This window comes from Homo sapiens, chromosome 16 (genome assembly GCF_000001405.40).
Source record: "Homo sapiens chromosome 16, GRCh38.p14 Primary Assembly".
Classification (NCBI taxonomy): Eukaryota; Metazoa; Chordata; class Mammalia; order Primates; family Hominidae; genus Homo; species Homo sapiens.
The window spans coordinates 3,838,254-3,857,808 of NC_000016.10; the positions used below are offsets into that span (position 1 = coordinate 3,838,254).

The following is a 19,555-nucleotide window of genomic DNA, read 5'->3' on the forward strand; positions in this document are numbered from 1 at the left end:
ATTACAGTAACATGATGTACAGATTTATAGTCCAGGAGCAACAGGGTACACTATATAGCCTAGGTGTGTAACAGGCTATGCCATCTAGGTTTGCATAACTACTCTATGATGTTCCTAGCATAACATAATCACTTAATGATGCATTTCACCCCCATCAAGTGACACATGCCTAAGTTACTCTTCAAGATGGTCCCCTGGGAGACATGTCAAATGAAAATCTTCATTGTTGTTATTATGCTAAACATTCATTCCGTTTGTGTTACAGAAAATAATCAGCCAAAAAGTTAACTGGAAATACTACTCCAACTTTGACTTTAAAAAAGATACATAATTATAGATAAAAGACTGGTAGAGAAAACATCAGGAGTATGTTTTCTTTAGCGCTAAGTATGACTGGATGATAGGCTTACAGGCAAGATTTTCTTTTCTAGACATTTCTGTGCTAATTTTGTATAACAAACATCAACTTTTTAAAAGTTGATATAGGATTTTGATCTGTTGCCCGGGCTGGTGTCAAATTCCTGGCCTAAAGCAATCCTCCCACCTCCGCCTCCCAAGTAGCTGGGATCACAAGAATGAGCCACCAAGCTCAACAGCTACTTTCACTACCAAAAAATGTTTTCGGAAAACATTAGAAAAGCAGTCTCATTATCACTTCAAATGTTGTGTGGCTATCTCAAATATTTTATGTGGCACAGCACCTCGCTAGTTCACTACTCAATATTCTCTGGAAGGTTTTCAGTAAACCTATGCATATACTAAGAATGTTACATACACCATCTCATTTAATTGGCATGCGATTCTGTAAGATAGAGATTATTATCCATTTTTAATTGATAGAACAATTCTCAATGGCAGCTACTATTATCCTCATTTAAAAGCCAAAAAAACTAAAACCCAGAGAGATTAAATAAGTTTCCCATAGCTAATAATTAGTGAACCCTGGATGTGAACTGAGTCAGCTTATTCCAGAGCCCACGCCAGGCTTGAAAGCAATTAGCCACTACATCTGCAGAAGGCAGTCTGAGCTGCCGCTATTACTACTGCTGCTGCAGTAAGTACACTAACTACTATGTGCGTGTCAATCCATTTAATATACATATGCAATCTCATTAAATTAAAAAGTTTAAAAAAGAAATTCATAAGGCTGGGTGAGGTGGCTCATGTCTGTAATCCCAGCACTTTGGGAGGCTGAGGCAGGCGGATCACCTGAGGTCAGGAGTTCAACACTAGCCTGGCCAACATGGTGAAACCCTGTCTCTACTGAAAATACAAAAAATTAGCTGGGCATGCTGGCGCATGCCTGTAATCCCAGCTACTCAGGAGGCTGAGGCAGGAAAATTGCTGGAACCCAAGAGGCAGAGGTTGCAGTGAGCCGAGATCACGCCATTGCACTCCCACCTAGACAACAAGAGTGAAACTATGGGGAAAGAAAGAAAGAAAAAGGAAGGAAGGGAAGGGGAGGGGAGGGGGAGGGGGAGGGAAGGGAGGGAAGGAAAGGAAGGGAGGAAAGGGAAGGAAGGGAAGGAAGGAAGGAAAAGGAAAGGAATGGAAAAGAAAGAAAGGAAAGAAAGAAAGAGAAGGAAAGAGAGAGAGGAAGAGTGAGAGAAAGAAAGAGAAAAGAAAAGAAAAGAAAAAAGAAATTCATGATTAATTATCATGGGAAGGTAGGTACATCCTGAATCATACATTCTATAGGACACCTATGATCATCTCTCATTAGAGTCATAATAAGATCCCTGAGCCAGTCCTAGGCTACTTAACATGTCTACTAAACAGCTGTGCCCACAGGAATTATATACATCCCACATTACCCTGTATTAATTCATGGCACTACATAGTTTCATTCTACAAACTATTTTTGTTGTGATCTTTTAAGAGGCCAAATTAAGATATGCTTAATATAAAATTCCCTTATTTCTTTGTGTTAAGAATCAGATGACTTCACGTGAAAAAGTGAAAAGCAACAGACAAATGTACAGTATTATTTCTCTTGCTATTAAATATTAGAAATTCCAGCCAGGCATGATAGTTTCACACTTGTAATCCCAGCACTTTGGGCAGCCAAGACGGCAGTCGGCTTGAGTTCAGTTCAAGACCAGCCCAGGCAACATAGCAACACCATGTCTGCATTAAAAAGGAAAGAAAAAGATGGTTGGAGTTCGGGTTTTCAGGCTCTTTCTGGTCTACCTTGTGGCAATTTGAGAGTCCAGCAACAGTTTCTGCTGGGTTTCAAAGATCCAGGAGAAGCTCAGTGTTGTGTTGAGACACAATGGACCCATCACAAAAGTTTAATCCAACCCTGGTCCCAGTCTTCAAAAATGCTCACTGAAGAAAATTCCCAGGACGATTCAGGGGCCTCTCAAAACTTCTGCTCTGAGATGTTGATAAAGAACCTTAGTAACTTGACTATCAACCCTAGTACCAAATTCTCTTCCCCTCTACCAGAAGGCTCACCCCAACAACAGTATACGGGAGCAATGATCCTCAGGGAAATCAGAGATGACTTGCTTTACAGGAGAAGATTTAAGAACACTCCTGTCTATGCAGAAAGAAAGGATGGCAAAATTGAGATACCTGTTACTCGGCAGAGTTCCTAGACTTGAACGAGAACTAACAAACACTGGGCTTAAGGGAGTTCAGAATGAATCAAGAAGTGGACATTTCAGATGCTGCTGCAGTTTCTGCATGTGTAACAGATGGGGTACTTTTGAGAGTGCTAGAATAGGGAATTACAACACTGAGCCACTTCAGCCATAAACCTTATTCTTGTACTTTTTTTTCTTGCTGGTAATTTTATGTAGCAGGTTGAGAAAGCTACCTTATGCTACAATAGACTATATATCAAAAATTTTGATAATGAGTTCTAGGATGTATTTTTCTTGTATCTTTTCCTTTCTACCATGATACTAGTGATGTATAAGGGGTCTGTGTAGTTTGAACGTATCTGAATAACTTCAGTATACTTCAGCTCTACTGCTTAATTTGACTCGAAGCCAAGAGGACATAAGCATCCCCATGTGTTTTAGAAGCCCAAAGCCAGTGAGATGAAACCCAACACCGAGAATTTGAAGCAAAGTCACTTGTGGGTAAAGAAAGCATTGGGTAGTTTGGCTACAGCGTAATAATAAGAAAAATTTGGGTTGCAATAAGAGGAAACTTTGTGCTCTTTTTACAATTTTTAGTACAAATAAAGGTGTATATAAGAGAATCAATTTTTTAAAAAAAATCAAAAAAATTAGCCAGGCATGATGGTGCACACCTATAGTACCAGCTACTTAGGAGGCTGAGACTGGAGCACTGCTTGAGCCCAGGAGTTCGAGGCTGCAGGGAGCCATGATAACGCCACTGTACTCTAGCCTGGGTGACAGAGTGAGGCCTTGTCTCAAAATAAATAAATAATATTAGAGATTTCCAATAATCTACCCAAAATAGAGAAGGTAGATTAGTCATTTCTTAGCCAACTTGGTTCTATTAATTCTTTACTGACTATATTCTGCTAATCCATTCCTTTAGAGCACAGATTCTCAGAGTGTGGTCCCTGACCACCACAATTACGGTCACCGGTGAGCTGGTTAGAAATGTAAATTCTCAGGTCCCAACCAAAATCTGCTGAATCAGAAACTTGGTAAGTTGGAGGCAGAAATCTGTCTTGACAAGCCTGCAGTGACTCTGCTGAATATTCAAGTTTGGGAATCACTGCTTTATAGTATCTGACCAAAATGATGGCTGACTGAGTACTGGGAGCTGATCTAATTTAAAACTTTTACTCCAGGAACACCTCCAGTCAAAAATCAACCCCGGGGTTTTCTGACCACTTTCTAAAAAAGACGAATATTCCAAAAACTTTATTCAAAAAATAAGCCCTAATCTGACCCCCTATGAAGATGGATTACCATACAAACTATTTTGGTCACGTTTCAGATTTGTTAGTTAAAAGAAAGTACTTAAAAGATTTCTAAGGTCACAAAAACAAATTCTTATCAACCTTAAAATCAGAATGCCTCCGGACCCCTTGACCCGAAATTACACCTTCCTCTTTCTACCAGCTTCTGGCTTCCTTCTGTCATCTCTGTGTCAAGCAACATCTCTCAACACCCGTAGCCAGGAAAGAGAGTGTCTGTACGGCTTCTAAATCCTACCTAAATTGGTCTTTTTTGCTTTCTTTCTAGAGGACAAGTGTATGAGTTATTTTCAGTAGAAAACAAGAACATGCTCCCCTCATAAGACGAAATGTTAAGTTTTGCTACTGTTGAAATAAAGAAATTGTTTTTTCTTTAAAAAACTCTTATCATGCCTTCTATCACAAAAGTAAACAAAAGAAAAAAATAGTAATATCATGTATTGTTAATATTGCCATGTTGTCAACAAGGGTCATGTTTTTCCTACTGTAAATATTTTCAGAGTCACATAAAATTAGAAATGAGATGGCAGTGCACGGTGGCTCATGCCTGTAACCTCAGCACTTTGGGAGGCTGAGGTGGGCAGATCACCTGAGGTCAGGAGTTCAAAACCAGCCTGGCCAACATGGTGAAACCCCGTCTCTACTAAAAATACAAAAAATTAGCCGGGCGTGGTGGCGGGCGCCTGTAATCCCAGATACTCAGGAGGCTGAGGCAGGAGAATCGCTTGAACCTGGGAGGCAGGGGTTGCAGTGAGCTGAGATCATGCCACTGCATTCCAGCCTAGGCAAAAAGAGCGAAACTCCCATCTCAAAAAAAAAAAAAAAAAAAAAAAAAAAATTAGGAATGAGAAGAGAAATAATCACAAACATCAAAAATGACAAAGAACTGCACACATTTTTGCACAGCTTTAAGTTAACAAATTTTAAAGATTAGATGAAAAGAATTTTCTACTAAAACAGAAACTGTAAAACTTACGAAAGAACAGGCTGCATTGCATTAGTGTTAACAGGCCTCTGGCCAGACCGTGTGGATGCAAGCCTGGTTCTGCCACTCACTGGCAGCCTCCACTTCTTAATCTGTAACATGTGACTTGCCTACCTCCTATCCTTTTTTTAAACAAAGATTAAAAGTTAAGTATCTTTTAGTTTTTCTCAAAATCAAAGCAAATTTAGACTTTACTAAATAAAAACGATACTGACCTAAGAGACTACTAAAAGCCTAAAAGAGCCAATATTTATAGAAAATAGCAATAAAGTTGTCAAAGATTTTTTTTTTTTTTTTGAGTCAGAATCTCACTCTGTTGGTATGCTTGATTGTAGTGGTGTGATCATGGCTCACTGCAACTTTGCACTCCTGGGCTCAAGCAATCCACCTGCTTCAGCCTCCTGAGTAGCTGAGACCACAGACATGTGCCACCATGACCAGCTAATTCTTAAATTTTTTTTAAAGATAGGGTCTCCCTATGTTCACAGGCTGGTCTTGAACTCCTGGGCTCAAGCAATCCTCCCACCTCAGCCTCCTAAAGTGTTGGAATTACAGGTGTGAGCCACCACGCCCGGCACTATTGTCAAAGATCTTCAGTCACTTCCTAGGGAAAAAAAGGCTTCAGGCCCACATCACTGTAAGGGTGAAGTCTCTCAATTCTTCATGTAATAGATAATTCCAAATCGATTTAAACTGTTTCACAGAATAAATATGAAAGACTTTCGGCCGGGCGCGGTGGCTCACGCCTGTAATCCCAGCACTTTGGGAGGCCGAGGCGGGCGGATCACGAGGTCAGGAGATCGAGACCATCCCGGCTAAAACGGTGAAACCCCGTCTCTACTAAAAATACAAAAAATTAGCCGGGCGTAGTGGCGGGCGCCTGTAGTCCCAGCTACTTGGGAGGCTGAGGCAGGAGAATGGCGTGAACCCGGGAGGCGGAGCTTGCAGTGAGCCGAGATCCCGCCACTGCACTCCAGCCTGGGCGACAGAGCGAGACTCCGTCTCAAAAAAAAAAAAAAAAAAAAAAAAAAGACTTTCAAACTCTTTTTGACCAAGTTAACGTAACACTGATATAAAAATTGACAAAGCACAAAAAGAGCTATGGATCAATTTCATCACTGATAAATGAGAAACAAAATTCTAAATGAAGCACTAGCAATTAAAACTCAGCATTAACTTTTGATTTTACAATTACAGAGATGGTTCAATTTGATATTATAAAACCTACACAGATAATCTGTCACATAAATAAATGGAAAGTGAAAAATCACAGGTTAATCAACATAGGTAGGTATCAAAAAGAAATTTGATAAAACCTAACATTTAGATATTATCATTTATTTTATGACGAACAGATTATGCCCCAATTTTAAAAGAAATATACTACTGACTACAAACCAAAGCTCACATTATTCTTAATAACAGAACACTAAATACACTTCCATTTAAGTAGGATACGAGACAGGGATGCCTAAGAGCATAAACACTGGCAAAAAATATTGGCAAGGAGAAAATAAAAGTATCAATAATGCAAAAGATGACTATCTCCTTGGAAAACTCAAGAGAATCTCCTGAAAACGTATTAGAATAATTAAGATAACCCCATAAAGCAGCCAGATTACCAGAGTAGCGTATACATAACATCTTTCCTATATTAAAATAGCCAGTTAGATAATGAAATATAACTCATCACCAACAGCAACAAAAACCACGTAATACCTCCAGAAATAAACTTAGTAAGAAAGATTTATTACACAGATAAAGAAAACCATACTATGCTTCCAAGCAACATAAGACCCCCAGAAAAGATAATTTATATGTATAAGAAGACTCAGGAAGTCACAAAACTGTTAAAATGTCACATCCCTCCTAAAATGACTTATAAAGTTGTAGTGAATCTTATAAATCCAAAATCCCAAAGATTTTTTGTTTTTAAAATTTGAAAAAAAGTCCTAAATTTATCTAACACAGTGGGGTTCTCAACCCTGGCTGCCATGAAAGTCATCTGAGGAACTACACACTATACGAATGTTTCTACCATATCCCCCAGATTCTAACTCAATTGCTCTGTAGTGGGGTTCAGGCATCATATTTTTAAAAATTCTCCAGATAAATCTGATAAAGTGTAGACAGAGTTGAGAACCACCTGTGTGAGAAATAACTAGTGAGGTCATATACTAAAAGTCATCACACAGCTAGGTTAATAGGTTTCTGGCACAGGAACAAGCAAAGGTCAATGGAACTAAAGAAAAAGAGTTCAGAAATTAGACCCAAATCCTATATGTTTGAAAAGAGAATAAAGTGTATACCAAAAACAGCATATCGTATCAGTGGGAGAAAAGATGGATTACCAATACTAAATAAATGGTACTAAGATGATTATAACAAGAAAAAATATATACTGCTGGATCTCTGTGTCTCACTCCTTATGCCAAAATAAATTGAGTTAAAGATTCAAGGAGGCCAGACACGGTGGCTCACGCCTGCAATCCCAGCAGTTTGGGAGGCTGAGGTGGGTGGATCGCTTGAGCTCAGGAGTTCAGGACCAGCCTGGGCAACATGGCAAAACCCCGTCTCCACAAAAAAATACAAAAATTAGTCAGTTGTGGTGATGCGCGCCTGTAGTCCCAGCTACTGGGGAGGCTGAGGCAGGCGGATCACCTGAGACCAGGAGGCAGAGGTTGCAGTGAGCTGAGATCATGCTACTGCACTCTAGCCTGGGCAACAAACTGAGACCCTATCTCAAAAAAAAAAAAAAAAAAAAAAGTCATGTAATAAGGAGAAAAATACAGGAAAATATTTCTTAATTTTTTAATAGGAAAAGCACTTCTAAAATGTGACATAAAACCTAAAAGCCATAAAGGAAATAAATGGATAAATGTGTTTCTATACAAACTGAAAACATATACTTGGTAAAAACATATTGTAAACCTATGTGACCATATTCCTGGTGAAACAGACTATGGCAAATAACAAAGGGGAAAAACATGTTTTAAGAGACTTAAGAATATAAATTAATGAGAAAAAATGACAAACAATTCAAGAGACAAATGGACAAAGATTATGAACAATCAGTAAAATACAACTGCCTATGACCTTATGAAAAGACACACTTAACAAAGAAGACAACTTGCTTAACAGAATGTCAAGTAAGTAAAAGGATGGTAATATTCAGTGTTGGTCAAGATTTGGACAGAGGCTCAATCACTCTTGATGAAGGTGTAATTTGCACAATATTTCTGAAGAGTATCTGAGATTATCTATGCTGATTTAAAATCTCAGTATCTTTTAATTCAGAAATTGCATGTCCAATAAATTATCTAGCAGATATGGTCACTCAGCTGTACAAAGATATATGTACAATGTGTTCAAAGCAAAACTGTGAAAACAGCAAAATACTGGGAATAACCTAAATGCTCAGCCTACATGGCACAAGTCCTTAAATTACGATATACCCAAATCAGGAATTCCTATTGTACCTATGAAGAATGACTGACAGCTACGCGGAGCATGGAAGAATTTCCAACTTGTATTGTTAAGTGGTGGGTGGGGAGGGGAACATCTACACTCACAAGAAAACGCTGTGTAATGCTACTCTTTATGTCTGGGGAGATAGCACACACATACCCACACCCCTCTCTCTACGCCTCTATACGCATACATCATCACTGGCAGGACAGATAAGAAATAATAGTTGCCTTTGGTGAGAATTTGGGAGAACCAAAATTCAAGAATTAAGAATTAACTCTCTGGTTCTTACTCTTAAGAGTATTTTTATGGTTGTTTGTCGTTAAACCATGTGCATGTTTACTTTCTAAAAACAAACTTTAAACAAGTCTGTGACCCATTAATTCTCCTTTTCAGAATCTAATCCATGACACATGTGTACAGGCATTGCTGCACTAGCAAAAAGTCAGAAACAATCCAAATGTTCATCCTCAGAGGATGAGATCAATAAATTATGATGTATCATATAATGGAATACTTTGCTATCAGTAAGAAAAAAAAATCTCTGTGCAGTGTCACAGAGGCCATCTAAGGTACACTGCCAAGTAAAACAGTAAGGTGCTTATGTAGTCTGGTTTCATTATGTATTTTAAATCTTTATCTGTAAGGAGGATGTTGCTCTTTTCCTACTATTTTAATTATTTCATAGGATATACTTCCTGTGTAATCGTTCTTAAAACAAAATTATCTTAAAAAAAGCGCCTTTTCCCTGTGCATCTTAAAATCTAGTTGGCTCTGCTATCGTAAGGTTCTAGAGAGGGAATGGTTTAAAATGGACTTGTCTCTCCCTCTTACTTTCTGCCCACCACTACTTGGTCTTTCATTCCACCCAAAGGCAACGACACATCTTTAAAAAAATGCACTCTATCCACCTCTAGTGGGCTGCTTTGAGATACCTATAGGAAACAAGAGACAACTGTCCCCAGCACGCTAACGAGGCTCACTTTCCAGTGACATCCACGAGTTGCTGTTGGAAAGAAAGACCACTCTGTATAAAGGAACCCCAGGATGGAATGAAAAGCCTGGGTGGACAGAGAAGCATGAAGTGTTACAGGTGTAATCAGCAAAGTCCAACTTCTGGAAGACACTCTCCAGGATAAATAGCAGACAACAACCAAAACATGTTTCTTCAGTAAATTGTAAGGATCCCACAGACCAACAGAGAACAGATTCTTAAGAGGCATATCAACTAACTGAAATGTAGATTTTGAGTAAAAATCTATAAAAACTACTTATAGGCCGGGCGTGGTGGCTCACGCCTGTAATCCCAGCATTTTGGGAGGCAGAGGCAGGTGGCTCGCTTGAGGTCAGGAGTTCGAGACCAGCTTGGCCAACATGGTGAAACTCCGTCTCTAATAAAAATATAAAAAGTTAGCCGGGAGCAGTGGCACGCGCCTGTAATCCCAGCTACTCAGGAGGCTGAGGCAGGACAATCACTTGAACCCAGGAGGCGGAGGTTGCAGTGAGCCCAGATGGTGCCACTGCACTCCAGACACTGGGCAACAGTGAAACTCCATCTCAGAAAAAAAAAAAAAAAATTACAACATATGAGACCACTGGAAACGTGACTATTCTGTGGATACTGGCTGACATGAAGTTACTGTTAAATCTGTTAACATGTGATAATGGCTTTGTGTTTAGGTGTACAAAGTCTAACTTCTACATACATGTTATCAAAAGCTCTTGAAGTGCAGTCCAGGGTCCCAGACCTTTCAGGGGGACCATGATGTCAAAACTATTTCCATAAAATCCTAAGATATGATTTGCCTTTTCCCTCTGATTCTCTCCCAAGAACACAGTAGATCTAGTTTTCTAGTTACTTTGTGATGTGTGATTCCACTGCACTGGACGGATGATGAAATGTGTTTCAATATTCTGTTTTACTATTTAATATAGTAAATATTGAGAGGTATACTGCACATGTTAAAGAAATCTCTTTGGGGTCCTCAGTAATTGTTAAGATTATTCAGGAGTCTTGAGATTAAAAAAAAGTTTGGGAATCATTGCTTTATACTATTATGTCGACTTCATATGATTTAAACTCTCCAGAATAGACAGAGTTTTAAAAGTAAGGAGTAGAGTGATGAATGAACTGGGAAAAGGAACAAGGATCAATCTCTCCAGGAACCATAAACCCATGAGAAATTCCTTCTCAATTGACACACTCATACAGACTCTTCTTAAAATGCCAGGTACAAGTAAAACTTAAGTTCACGTTCCTCTCTACTAACATTTCAAAAAAGACAAATGCAATTTAAACATTGAGCATTACTTCATCTTCATTTCTTAAGTTAAAAAAAAATCCTCTCGTTTCCGACATTCACAGGGTTTTGCATCCGTCACCCAACGCTCTCATCAACCTTCTGGGGAAACTGTGTTCTACTCTTATTCTCCCTCACCCCTACTTGGGACTAAACAAATCCAAAGAACAGCCCAAACTGATTTTCTGTTCTGGGATGTGCTGAATTCCACTGCCTGAAGACGTGCCTGGTGGCTGCTGTTGAGAAGCCTCTGGCCGCAGAGCATCCACAGTGTTTGTCACTTCAGTGGGAATAGGCTGCCCTTCCTTCTCTGTGCTCCTGTCAGTCCTGGGCTTTTCCAGCTGTCTCACATCTATCCAGGCATCTGCCTTCCCCCTTCTCCAAGTCCAGTTCCTACTCTAGAAGGCAGCTGCAAGGCTGGTGGCTGCAAATCCCAGTCCAGGCCTTTCCCTAGCAGAGCTCTTGGCCGTGTGTGTGTGTGTGTGTGTGTGTGTGTGTGTGTGTGTGTGTGTGTGTGTGTGTGTGTGTGTGTGTGTGTGTGTGTGTGTGTGTGTGTGTGTGTGTGTGTGTGTGTGTGTGATGTGCGTGACCTTGGAGCCACCTGGAGGCTGCTGCTTTTTTTTTTTTTTTTTTTTTTTTTCCAAGAGACAGGGTTTCGCCACATTGCCCAGGCTGGTCTCAAACTCCTAGAGTTGAGCTATCCACCCACCTTGGCCTCCCAAAGTGCTGGGATCACAGGCGTGAGTCACTGTGTCCAGCACCCATCTGGAGGCTTCTTAAAGCCCAGGCCCCACGCCGAGCTTCTGAGTCAATAAAGAAGTCTGCATTTCTAACAAGCTTCTAGGGGATGCTGCTGCTGCTGCTGGTCCAGGGGACCCCACTTGAAGAACCACTGCACTGGTGTTTCCTCTGGGACCCGAATGCCTGTGCTTCTCCCCGGCTCTGCCACCTCTTCCTTGTTAACATAGCAGGGAGTGAGCTGACAACCCTGGAACACAGCTTTCTCATTCAGTGAAATGGATACTGTGCCAACAGATACTTCACTGGATGGCCACAGAGGAGCATACAGACCAGTGATCACCTCCTCAGTGGGCAGTACACAGGCAGAAAGCAACCTCTACCAGGTTCACGGACACATTAGGCCCTGTACTTTCCAACTGCCTGACCTGCAAGCTGTCCTACTTCTTTAAGAATTCTCATTTTAAAGACAGAAATGGGGCAGAGATCTTTATCCTAGAAAGAAATCTGTCTCTTCCAAGCATGAGTGGCACGTGGAGAGCCCAAGAGGAAAAACAGGAGTGGGCCACGTGGTCCCATTTTACGCATTACTCGGAGGGAAAGCCCGCGGTTAGGTAGGAAGTATTGAAAGTGCTTCAGTTCACTTACCTTGGCCATGCCTCCTGCCTGTGCGGTGTTCAGTCCCGCGTGACCAGTCATTTGCGGGGAAACCTGCGTTAGGGTCTCAGCCAGCACGCTGCTCGAGGCGCCCTGCATGGCTGGAGTAGGGTACGGCATTCCAGCTCCCCTTCCTCTGCCAGCAGCCCCAAGAGATCCATTCATGACTTGCGCCTGCCCTTGTGAAGCCTGATTAATTAAGCTATGGCCAGAGTTACTATTGAGGAGGCCTGGGTGGGTCTGGTTAAAGTTAGCATTCATGCAGATACCAGGTCCAGTCTGTGACGTGGCAGGGCTGCTAGTCGCCAGCCCCACTTGCTTTTGTGCTTGCGGATTCAGTGCTTGGGAGGCAGCGGGGGTGGGCCCAGAGGTGCTGGCTGCCTGTTTAGGCAGGCTGGGGGCTGAAGAATCTCCCTGGCTCAGAGGGCTCTTGCCCATGGCACTGAGGCTGGCCATGTTAGCACTGTTCGGCTGCCCTTGAGCCTGGCCACCCAGGCCCTGCTGCACGGGGCTGCTGGCGCTCACATTTCCTATTCCTGGGTTGATACTAGAGCCGCTGCCTCCTCGTAGAAGCTCCGACAGTTGTTTATGTTTGGAAGCAGCATCTGGAACAAGGTTCCCACTGTTTAAAAGGCCTAATTCTCCTCCATTGGGTATCAGCTCATCAGGAAGATCATTTTCCAAGTCAAACAATGATCCAAAATCTAGAAATTAAACAGAAATGGAAATGAGAAACTAAGCAACCTTTACAGCTCTCCAACTGCCACGTTTCTATGATCTTAACCTAATGGGGCATTCAGCACGAACACTAGCATGTCTTAAGAGTCATGTCATTAGCTGGGTGTGGTAGCGCATGCCTGTAATCCCAGCTACTCGGGAGGCTAAGGCAGGAGAATAGCTTGAACCCGGGAGGTGGAGGATGCGGTGAGCCAAGATCACGCCATTGCACTCCAGCCTGGGCAACAAGACCGAAACACCGTCTCAAAAAAAAAAAAAAAATTAAAAAAAAAAAAAAAAAAAGAGTAATGTCAAAATGATTTACAAGTTTGTTTGGGAAAATAAAGAAAAAATACCCTTCAAATTCTGAAGACAGAAAAGTTAAACAGAGATGAGAAGGACAGCCCTACTATATTTATCATATTCTAAAACAATAATTAAATAGTGTGGTGTTGAGGGCAAACTCAGATATACAAATTAAAAGAAAACAATGGGAAGACTCCAAATTCACTGAATTATAATTTTAAAATGCTTTTAAGAATGTATGTGTGGCCGGGCATGGTGGCTCAAGCCTGTAATCCCAGCACTTTGGGAGGCTGAGGCAGGCGGATCACGAGGTCAGGAGAGCGAGACCATCCTGGCTAACACGGTGAAACCCCGTCTCTAGTAAAAAGACAAAAAATTAGCCGGGCGCGGTGGCGGGCGCCTGTAGTCCCAGCTACTCGGGAGGCTGAGGCAGGAGAATGGCGTGAACCCGGGAAGCGGAGCTTGCAGTGAGCCGAGATTGCGCCACTGCAGTCCGCAGTCCGACCTGGGCGACAGAGCGAGACTCCGTCTCAAAAAAAAAAAAAAAAAAAGACAAAACATTAGCCGGGCATGGTGGCGGGCGCCTGTAATCCCAGCTACTCAGGAGGCTTAGGCAGGAGAATGGCGTGAACCTGGGAGGCGGAGCTTGCAGTGAGCTGAGATCGTGCCACTGCACTCCAACCTGGGCAACAGCGAGACTCCATCTCAAAAAAAAAAAAAAAAAAAAAAAAAAAAAAAAAAAAAAAAGAATGTATGTGTGTAACAAAGTAACTGGGCATTGACTTAGATGAACAGCAATTTGAGGACAGTAAAGCCAATCTTAAATTTGTTTTTTTTTTTTTTTTTTTTTTTTTGAGACAGAGTCTCGCTCTGCGGCCCAGGCTGGATGGAGTGCAGTGGCGTGATCTCGGCTCACTGCAAGGTCCGCCTCCCGGGTTCACGCCACTGTCCTGCCTCAGCCTCCCAAGTAGCTGGGATTATAGGCGCCCACCACCATGCCCGGCTAATTTTTTGTATTTTTAGTAGAGACGGGGTTTCACCGTATTAGCCAGGATGGTCTCGATCTCCTGACCTCATGATCCATGGGAGGCCTCAGCCTCCCAAAGTGCTGGGATTACAGGTGTGAGCCACCGTGCCCGGCCGATTACATTATTTAAAAGTTAAAATACAAGAAGTAAACTAGCTTTAACGCAAAATGAAATCAGTGATTTCTTAAAAGTGTTGAAGCTGCAGCAAATGATAATAAAGACATACACAGAAACTACAAAGAGTTAAAAATAAGAGCCTAAAAGTATTTGTAGTATATGAAAGGGGTAAATGTCAATCATACAGGAAGATGAGAAGCACAGTGACTCCCGACTATAAATGGACAAAAGACATAAGCAGGTCTTCACCCCAAAGGGAAATAAAACACTAAACAAAATAATCCGTCTTTCCTGATAAGGAAACAAATGGGAACTAAAACAACCCTTTTTCTGGTCCCTTTCAAAGTAACTTTTCTCTGAAGCGTGGTCTACACATGTCATCTCTACCCTCTCATTTCCCACGCACTCTAACCCACAACGGCCAGGCTATTCATGTATGTGCAAGGAAGAAGTATGTAGAAATATGTTCATCTTAGTATTATCTGTAGCATCCAAAAAAAAAAAAAAAGCACAAAAAATACCCAGAGGCAGTTTTTCCTAGTGGTTACAGACTCTATACTGGGGCTGCCCACACTGGACACCAGCTCTGCCTCCAGCTCCCTATTCATTAGTGATGTGACCTTGGTAGGTTACTCAGCCTTTCTTTGCCTCAGTTTCCTCATCTGGAAACTAGGGGTAACAATGGCCCCTACACCTCATAACGCTGTTGTGAGGACCAAATGAATAAGTAAGTGTAAAACACGACTGAGAACAAACAGTGCCTATGGGTGGTAAATGCTAAGTACTGTCTATTATTATTACTGCTATCCATAACAGGAGGTTTAATAAGCGGCTGTATAATACTTTAAAACATCAGGCCGGGTGCGGTGGCTCACGCCTGTAATCCCAGCACTTTGGGAGGCCAAGGTAGGCGGATCACGAGGTCAGGAGATTGAGACCATCCTGGCTAACACGGTGAAACCCTGTCTCTACTAAAAATATAAAAAATCAGCCAGGTGTGGTGGCAGGCACCTGTAGTCCCAGCTACTCTGGAGGCTGAGGCAGGAGAATGGCGTGAACCCAGGAGGCAGAGCTTGCAGTGAGCCAAGATTGCGCCACTGCACTCCAGCCTGGATGACAGCCTGGGAAACAGAGTGAGACTCCATCTCAAAAAAACAAACAAACAAAAAACACCATACATCGGCCAGGCACGGTAGCTCATGCCTGTAATCCCAGCACTTTGGGAGGCCAAGGCAGGCAGACGATCTGAGGTCAGGAGTTCAAGACCAGCCTGGCTAATATGGCGAAGCCCTATCTCTACTAAAAACACAAAAATGAGCTGGGCGTGGTGGCAGGCGCCTGTAATTGCAGCTACTCGAGAGGCTGAGGCAGGAGAGTCGCTTGAACCTGGGAGGTGGAAGTTGCAGTGAACTGAGATATCGCCATTGCACTCCAGCCTGGGCAACAAGAGCGAAACTCCGTCTCAAAAACAAACAAACAAACAAACAAACACACACACACACACACACACGAAAAAGAAAAGAAAATTAAAACCTTTTTTCTGCATGGTGGCAGACCCTAATGTCTGCTCACCCAATACCCCTGGCCCCATGCTGCTGGCAACACCCACATGATCTGAAGTGGCTGCCTGGGAGGTTCCTCTGAGGAACGTTCCCTGGCCACAGGAGGGAGAGTAACCAGATAAGCCCACCACCACGATCACGTTCCCCTTTGCAAGTGACACAATCTCAGCTAAGGGAATCTGAAGGTACACTGAACCAGGACCATTGTGGAAAAGGTGTTCCTTCCTCACAGCAATGGATGCTCAGAAAGAAATCTCCCTCCTCTTCTTCACCAGATCTCGTCATGGGCAGGTGACAATCACCCTGTAGCCAGGAGAGCAGACACCACTTGCATGCTAAGGATGGCTGTAGCCAAAAACATAAACACCTGGGGTGGGGAGATCATCTCTGAACTGCTGAGTGATGCAACCCTAGTACTTCCCCACCTTCAAACTTCATGTTATGTGAGAAAATACACTTACTATCACTTAAGCCATTTTAGCTGGAGTTTAACCTCACCCTAACCCTAACAGACCCATCATGTCTATGGAAGAAGTTCAAACACCTTCTCATGGCACGTGAGGCTATCTTCTTGGCCTTCCTTTACAGGACAACACCAGATGCCCCCTACTTTCCAGCCACAACACTGAGAGCTGGCACAGGCATTGGGAATCTTTCTTCTTGAATCTCTCATTCTAAAACTCACCTCAGTTCCCACTCAGATTAAACACAGCAACTATGAAGACTTTCTTTGGGCTGCCCCTGCAGAACAGACCAGTCCCTCTTGTCAGTCTAGAAAACCACGTCTAACACACACTTGTTATCTTCCCACCTGTCTGTAAGGAATGAGATGTGATTTAGGAGTGTGTACATGCATGTAACAGTTTTTGAAGAAAAACCGAGACTGAGAGTAAGTTGCAGACGAAATAACACTGTTCTCCTAAGTACTTCAGTACGTATCTCCTAACAACATCCTCTTACATAATCACAGTATGCATGTGCAACTCAGGAAATGTAACACTGATACAATACTGAATATACTGCCCTTACTCAAATTTTGCTGGTTGTCCCAATAATGATCTTTATCACACATCTGTCTCTTCAAAATGACATGTCCTATAGCCATGAGATTACAAGATCCAAGATCTAATTCAGGATCATGGTGCATTTAATTGTCATGTCTTTGTCACCTTGTTTAATCGAAAAAGGATCAAAGGTTCCCTGGCCTTTGTCTTTCGTAAGTGACATTTTATTCTTATTTGTTTATTAGACAGAGTCTTGCTCTGTTGCCCACGCTAGATGGAGTGCAGTGGCACGATCCAGGCTCACTGCAACCTTTGCCTCCCGGGTTCAAGCAATTCTCCAACCTCAGCCAGAATAGCTGGGATTACAGGCGTGCACCACCGCACCCGGCTAACGTTTGTATTTTTAGTAGAGACGGGGTTTCGCCACGTTGGCCAGGCTGGTTTCGAACTTCTGACCTCAGGTGATCCGCCCGCCTAAGCCTCCCAAAGTGCTAGGATTACAGGCGTGAGCCATTGCACCCGGCCATAACTGACATTTTTGAAGAATAGAGGCCAGTTGTTATTGTAGAAGGTCCTTCAATTTGGGGTACCTCCTCATGGTTACAGGGCATGTCATTTTGAAGAGAAAGGAATCTGATCCCGGATACAGCAGACAGTTCCATGAGGGCACAGGGCCTGTACCTGGTGAAATAGGTCTCAACATGCTTCTGAGGGTTCCAATCCATAGTTTTTACGCTATTTTGCTATCCTAAATTTGGAGATTCACTGAGGTGTCCAGACACAAACTGTACAATATTTATTAAATATGTATTAAAAAGTCCTCTCTATCATAACTACTGTTTTGTTTGTTGCCCTCCAGGCTTTGTCCACCTGCACACACAAATTTACTCGGTACTCCTTAATAAATATTTTTGTCCAACCCAAATGATAAACGTTTGAGGTGGTAGATATCCTAATTACTATGATTTGCTCATTATGCATTGCATGCATGTTACAAAATATTCTGTAACCCCTTAATATATACAATCACATGTCAACTACAAATAAAAGGAAAAAAGAAAATATGTACCCCCCCAAATAACAACATTTTATTTTTTATTTTATGTTTTAGAGATAGGGTCTTGCTCTGTCACCTCTGTGCAATGGCACAATCACAGCTCACTGTATCCTCAAACTCCTGGACTCAACCAATTCTCCCGCTTCAGCCCCCTATAGCTGGGACCACAGGTGTGCCCCACCACAAACAGCTCATTTTTTATTTTATTTTTAATTAATGAATTAATTAAATAATTATTTTGACAGGGTCTTGCTCCGGCACCCAGGCTGGAGTGCAGTGAAGTTGCAGGCTCAATGCAGCTTCCGCCCTGCACCAAAACACCCACCTGATTTTTGTACTGTTTTGGAGAGACAGGGTTTCGCCATGTTTCCCAGGCTTGCCAGCTAATTAAAAAAATTTTTTTTTGTAGAGATGGGGTCTTGCTATGTTGCCCAGGCTGGTCTCAAACTCCTGGCCTCAAGAAATACTCCTACTTCAGTCTCCCAAAGCACTGGGATTACAGGCATGAGCCACTGCAGCCCAAAATAACTACTTTTAAAAATGCAGTGTTCCTTAACTGATGAGCATGAAAATGAAACTTCATCTAAACCAGGAACTGGAGCCATTACCATTAGAGATCAGCTCTCCTTCCTTTCTGTCCAGGGCGAGGATGAAGAGACCGTGTCAAGCACTGTAACCCAGAAGCAAACAAGGGCCAAATATTTTATATTTAAGTTTGGAAAAATCTGCAAAAGGCGACCTAACTGGCTATTTTGAACATCCCTAAGCACTCTTCCTAGGAGAGGGAGGCCAGGCCACAGAAGAGCAGATAAACTCAGAGAGTACTTAGTGAAACCCAGGGCAGGGCTGGCCTCAGTGTAGAACAATGGGAACAGAACAGCTGGAAGCTGAGCACAGGAGTTGAAATCCTGCATCCTTAGGCAAACTGCTTCATCTCTGCATCTTCATACCCTCACCTGTAAAACAAGGGTACCAACGCCCCAGAGTTAAAAACTTCACCCATCATCCTGCCACTCTCAGAGCTATCAGTTTTCATTTATGGTTTATTCTAGTTCTTATCAAATTCACAGGCAAGTTTCAAAGTTGTAAGCAGGGCTTATGTCCTGGGCTAGTGTTTTTGTTTTTCACTGGTCTGCTACACTCTGACCACCGTGACCACTTTTTCATCCTATTTCAGTCCAAATACATATACCAGCTGTTTGGGTGAAGGCAGAGTTAGACAAATTCTTCTTCTGTAATTCACCATATGAATATGTGTAAAACCAAATATACAGGTGTGGCTTTTTAAAAGGCAAGATAGGGCGCACACGTAGTCGTACCATCACCCTTCTGTTTACCACTGTCACCACATTTCCATATTCCCTAGTTCAGCAAAACTGACAAAGGGGAGTGAAGGAGGCAGGCCAGGATATTGCAACACAACACAGCTTTGCTTTCTACACACCAAAGTGTCCCAACACATGGGTTAAGCAAGAGCAATCTGTATCATCGGAAGTTCCTAAGGTTCACGATTGACAGCGATCCAGTCCCAGGTAAGCCCTCTTCTCTCTGACCGTTACCAGGGGGCCCGGGAGAATGCAAAGAAAAGGAGACTGTGGGCACCCTGCACCCAGAGCATTTGCACCTCAAGGAAACTTCACCAGCCGATATCAAATAGCGAACACTGCCTGTCATACTTCCATAGCTAGGGAAAGGAATTTTCCCTTTTGCAG

At 42.4% G+C, this 19,555-nt stretch overlaps 1 protein-coding gene and 1 pseudogene across 9 annotated transcripts in view; one reads left to right on the plus strand and one right to left on the minus strand.

Annotated features, from left to right (window-relative positions):
• CREBBP (CREB binding lysine acetyltransferase) overlaps positions 1–19,555 on the minus strand; it is a 155,660-nt gene that overhangs the window by 113,200 nt on the left and 22,905 nt on the right. For all 9 annotated transcript variants that reach the window (XM_047433625.1, XM_047433624.1, XM_005255124.5 and 6 more), the window contains exon 2: positions 12,044–12,756. In XM_047433625.1, the coding sequence (XP_047289581.1) occupies positions 12,044–12,756 (713 nt within the window). The remainder of the gene's footprint in view (positions 1–12,043; positions 12,757–19,555) is intronic.
• Positions 2,275–2,757, plus strand: DPPA3P6 (DPPA3 pseudogene 6; annotated as a pseudogene).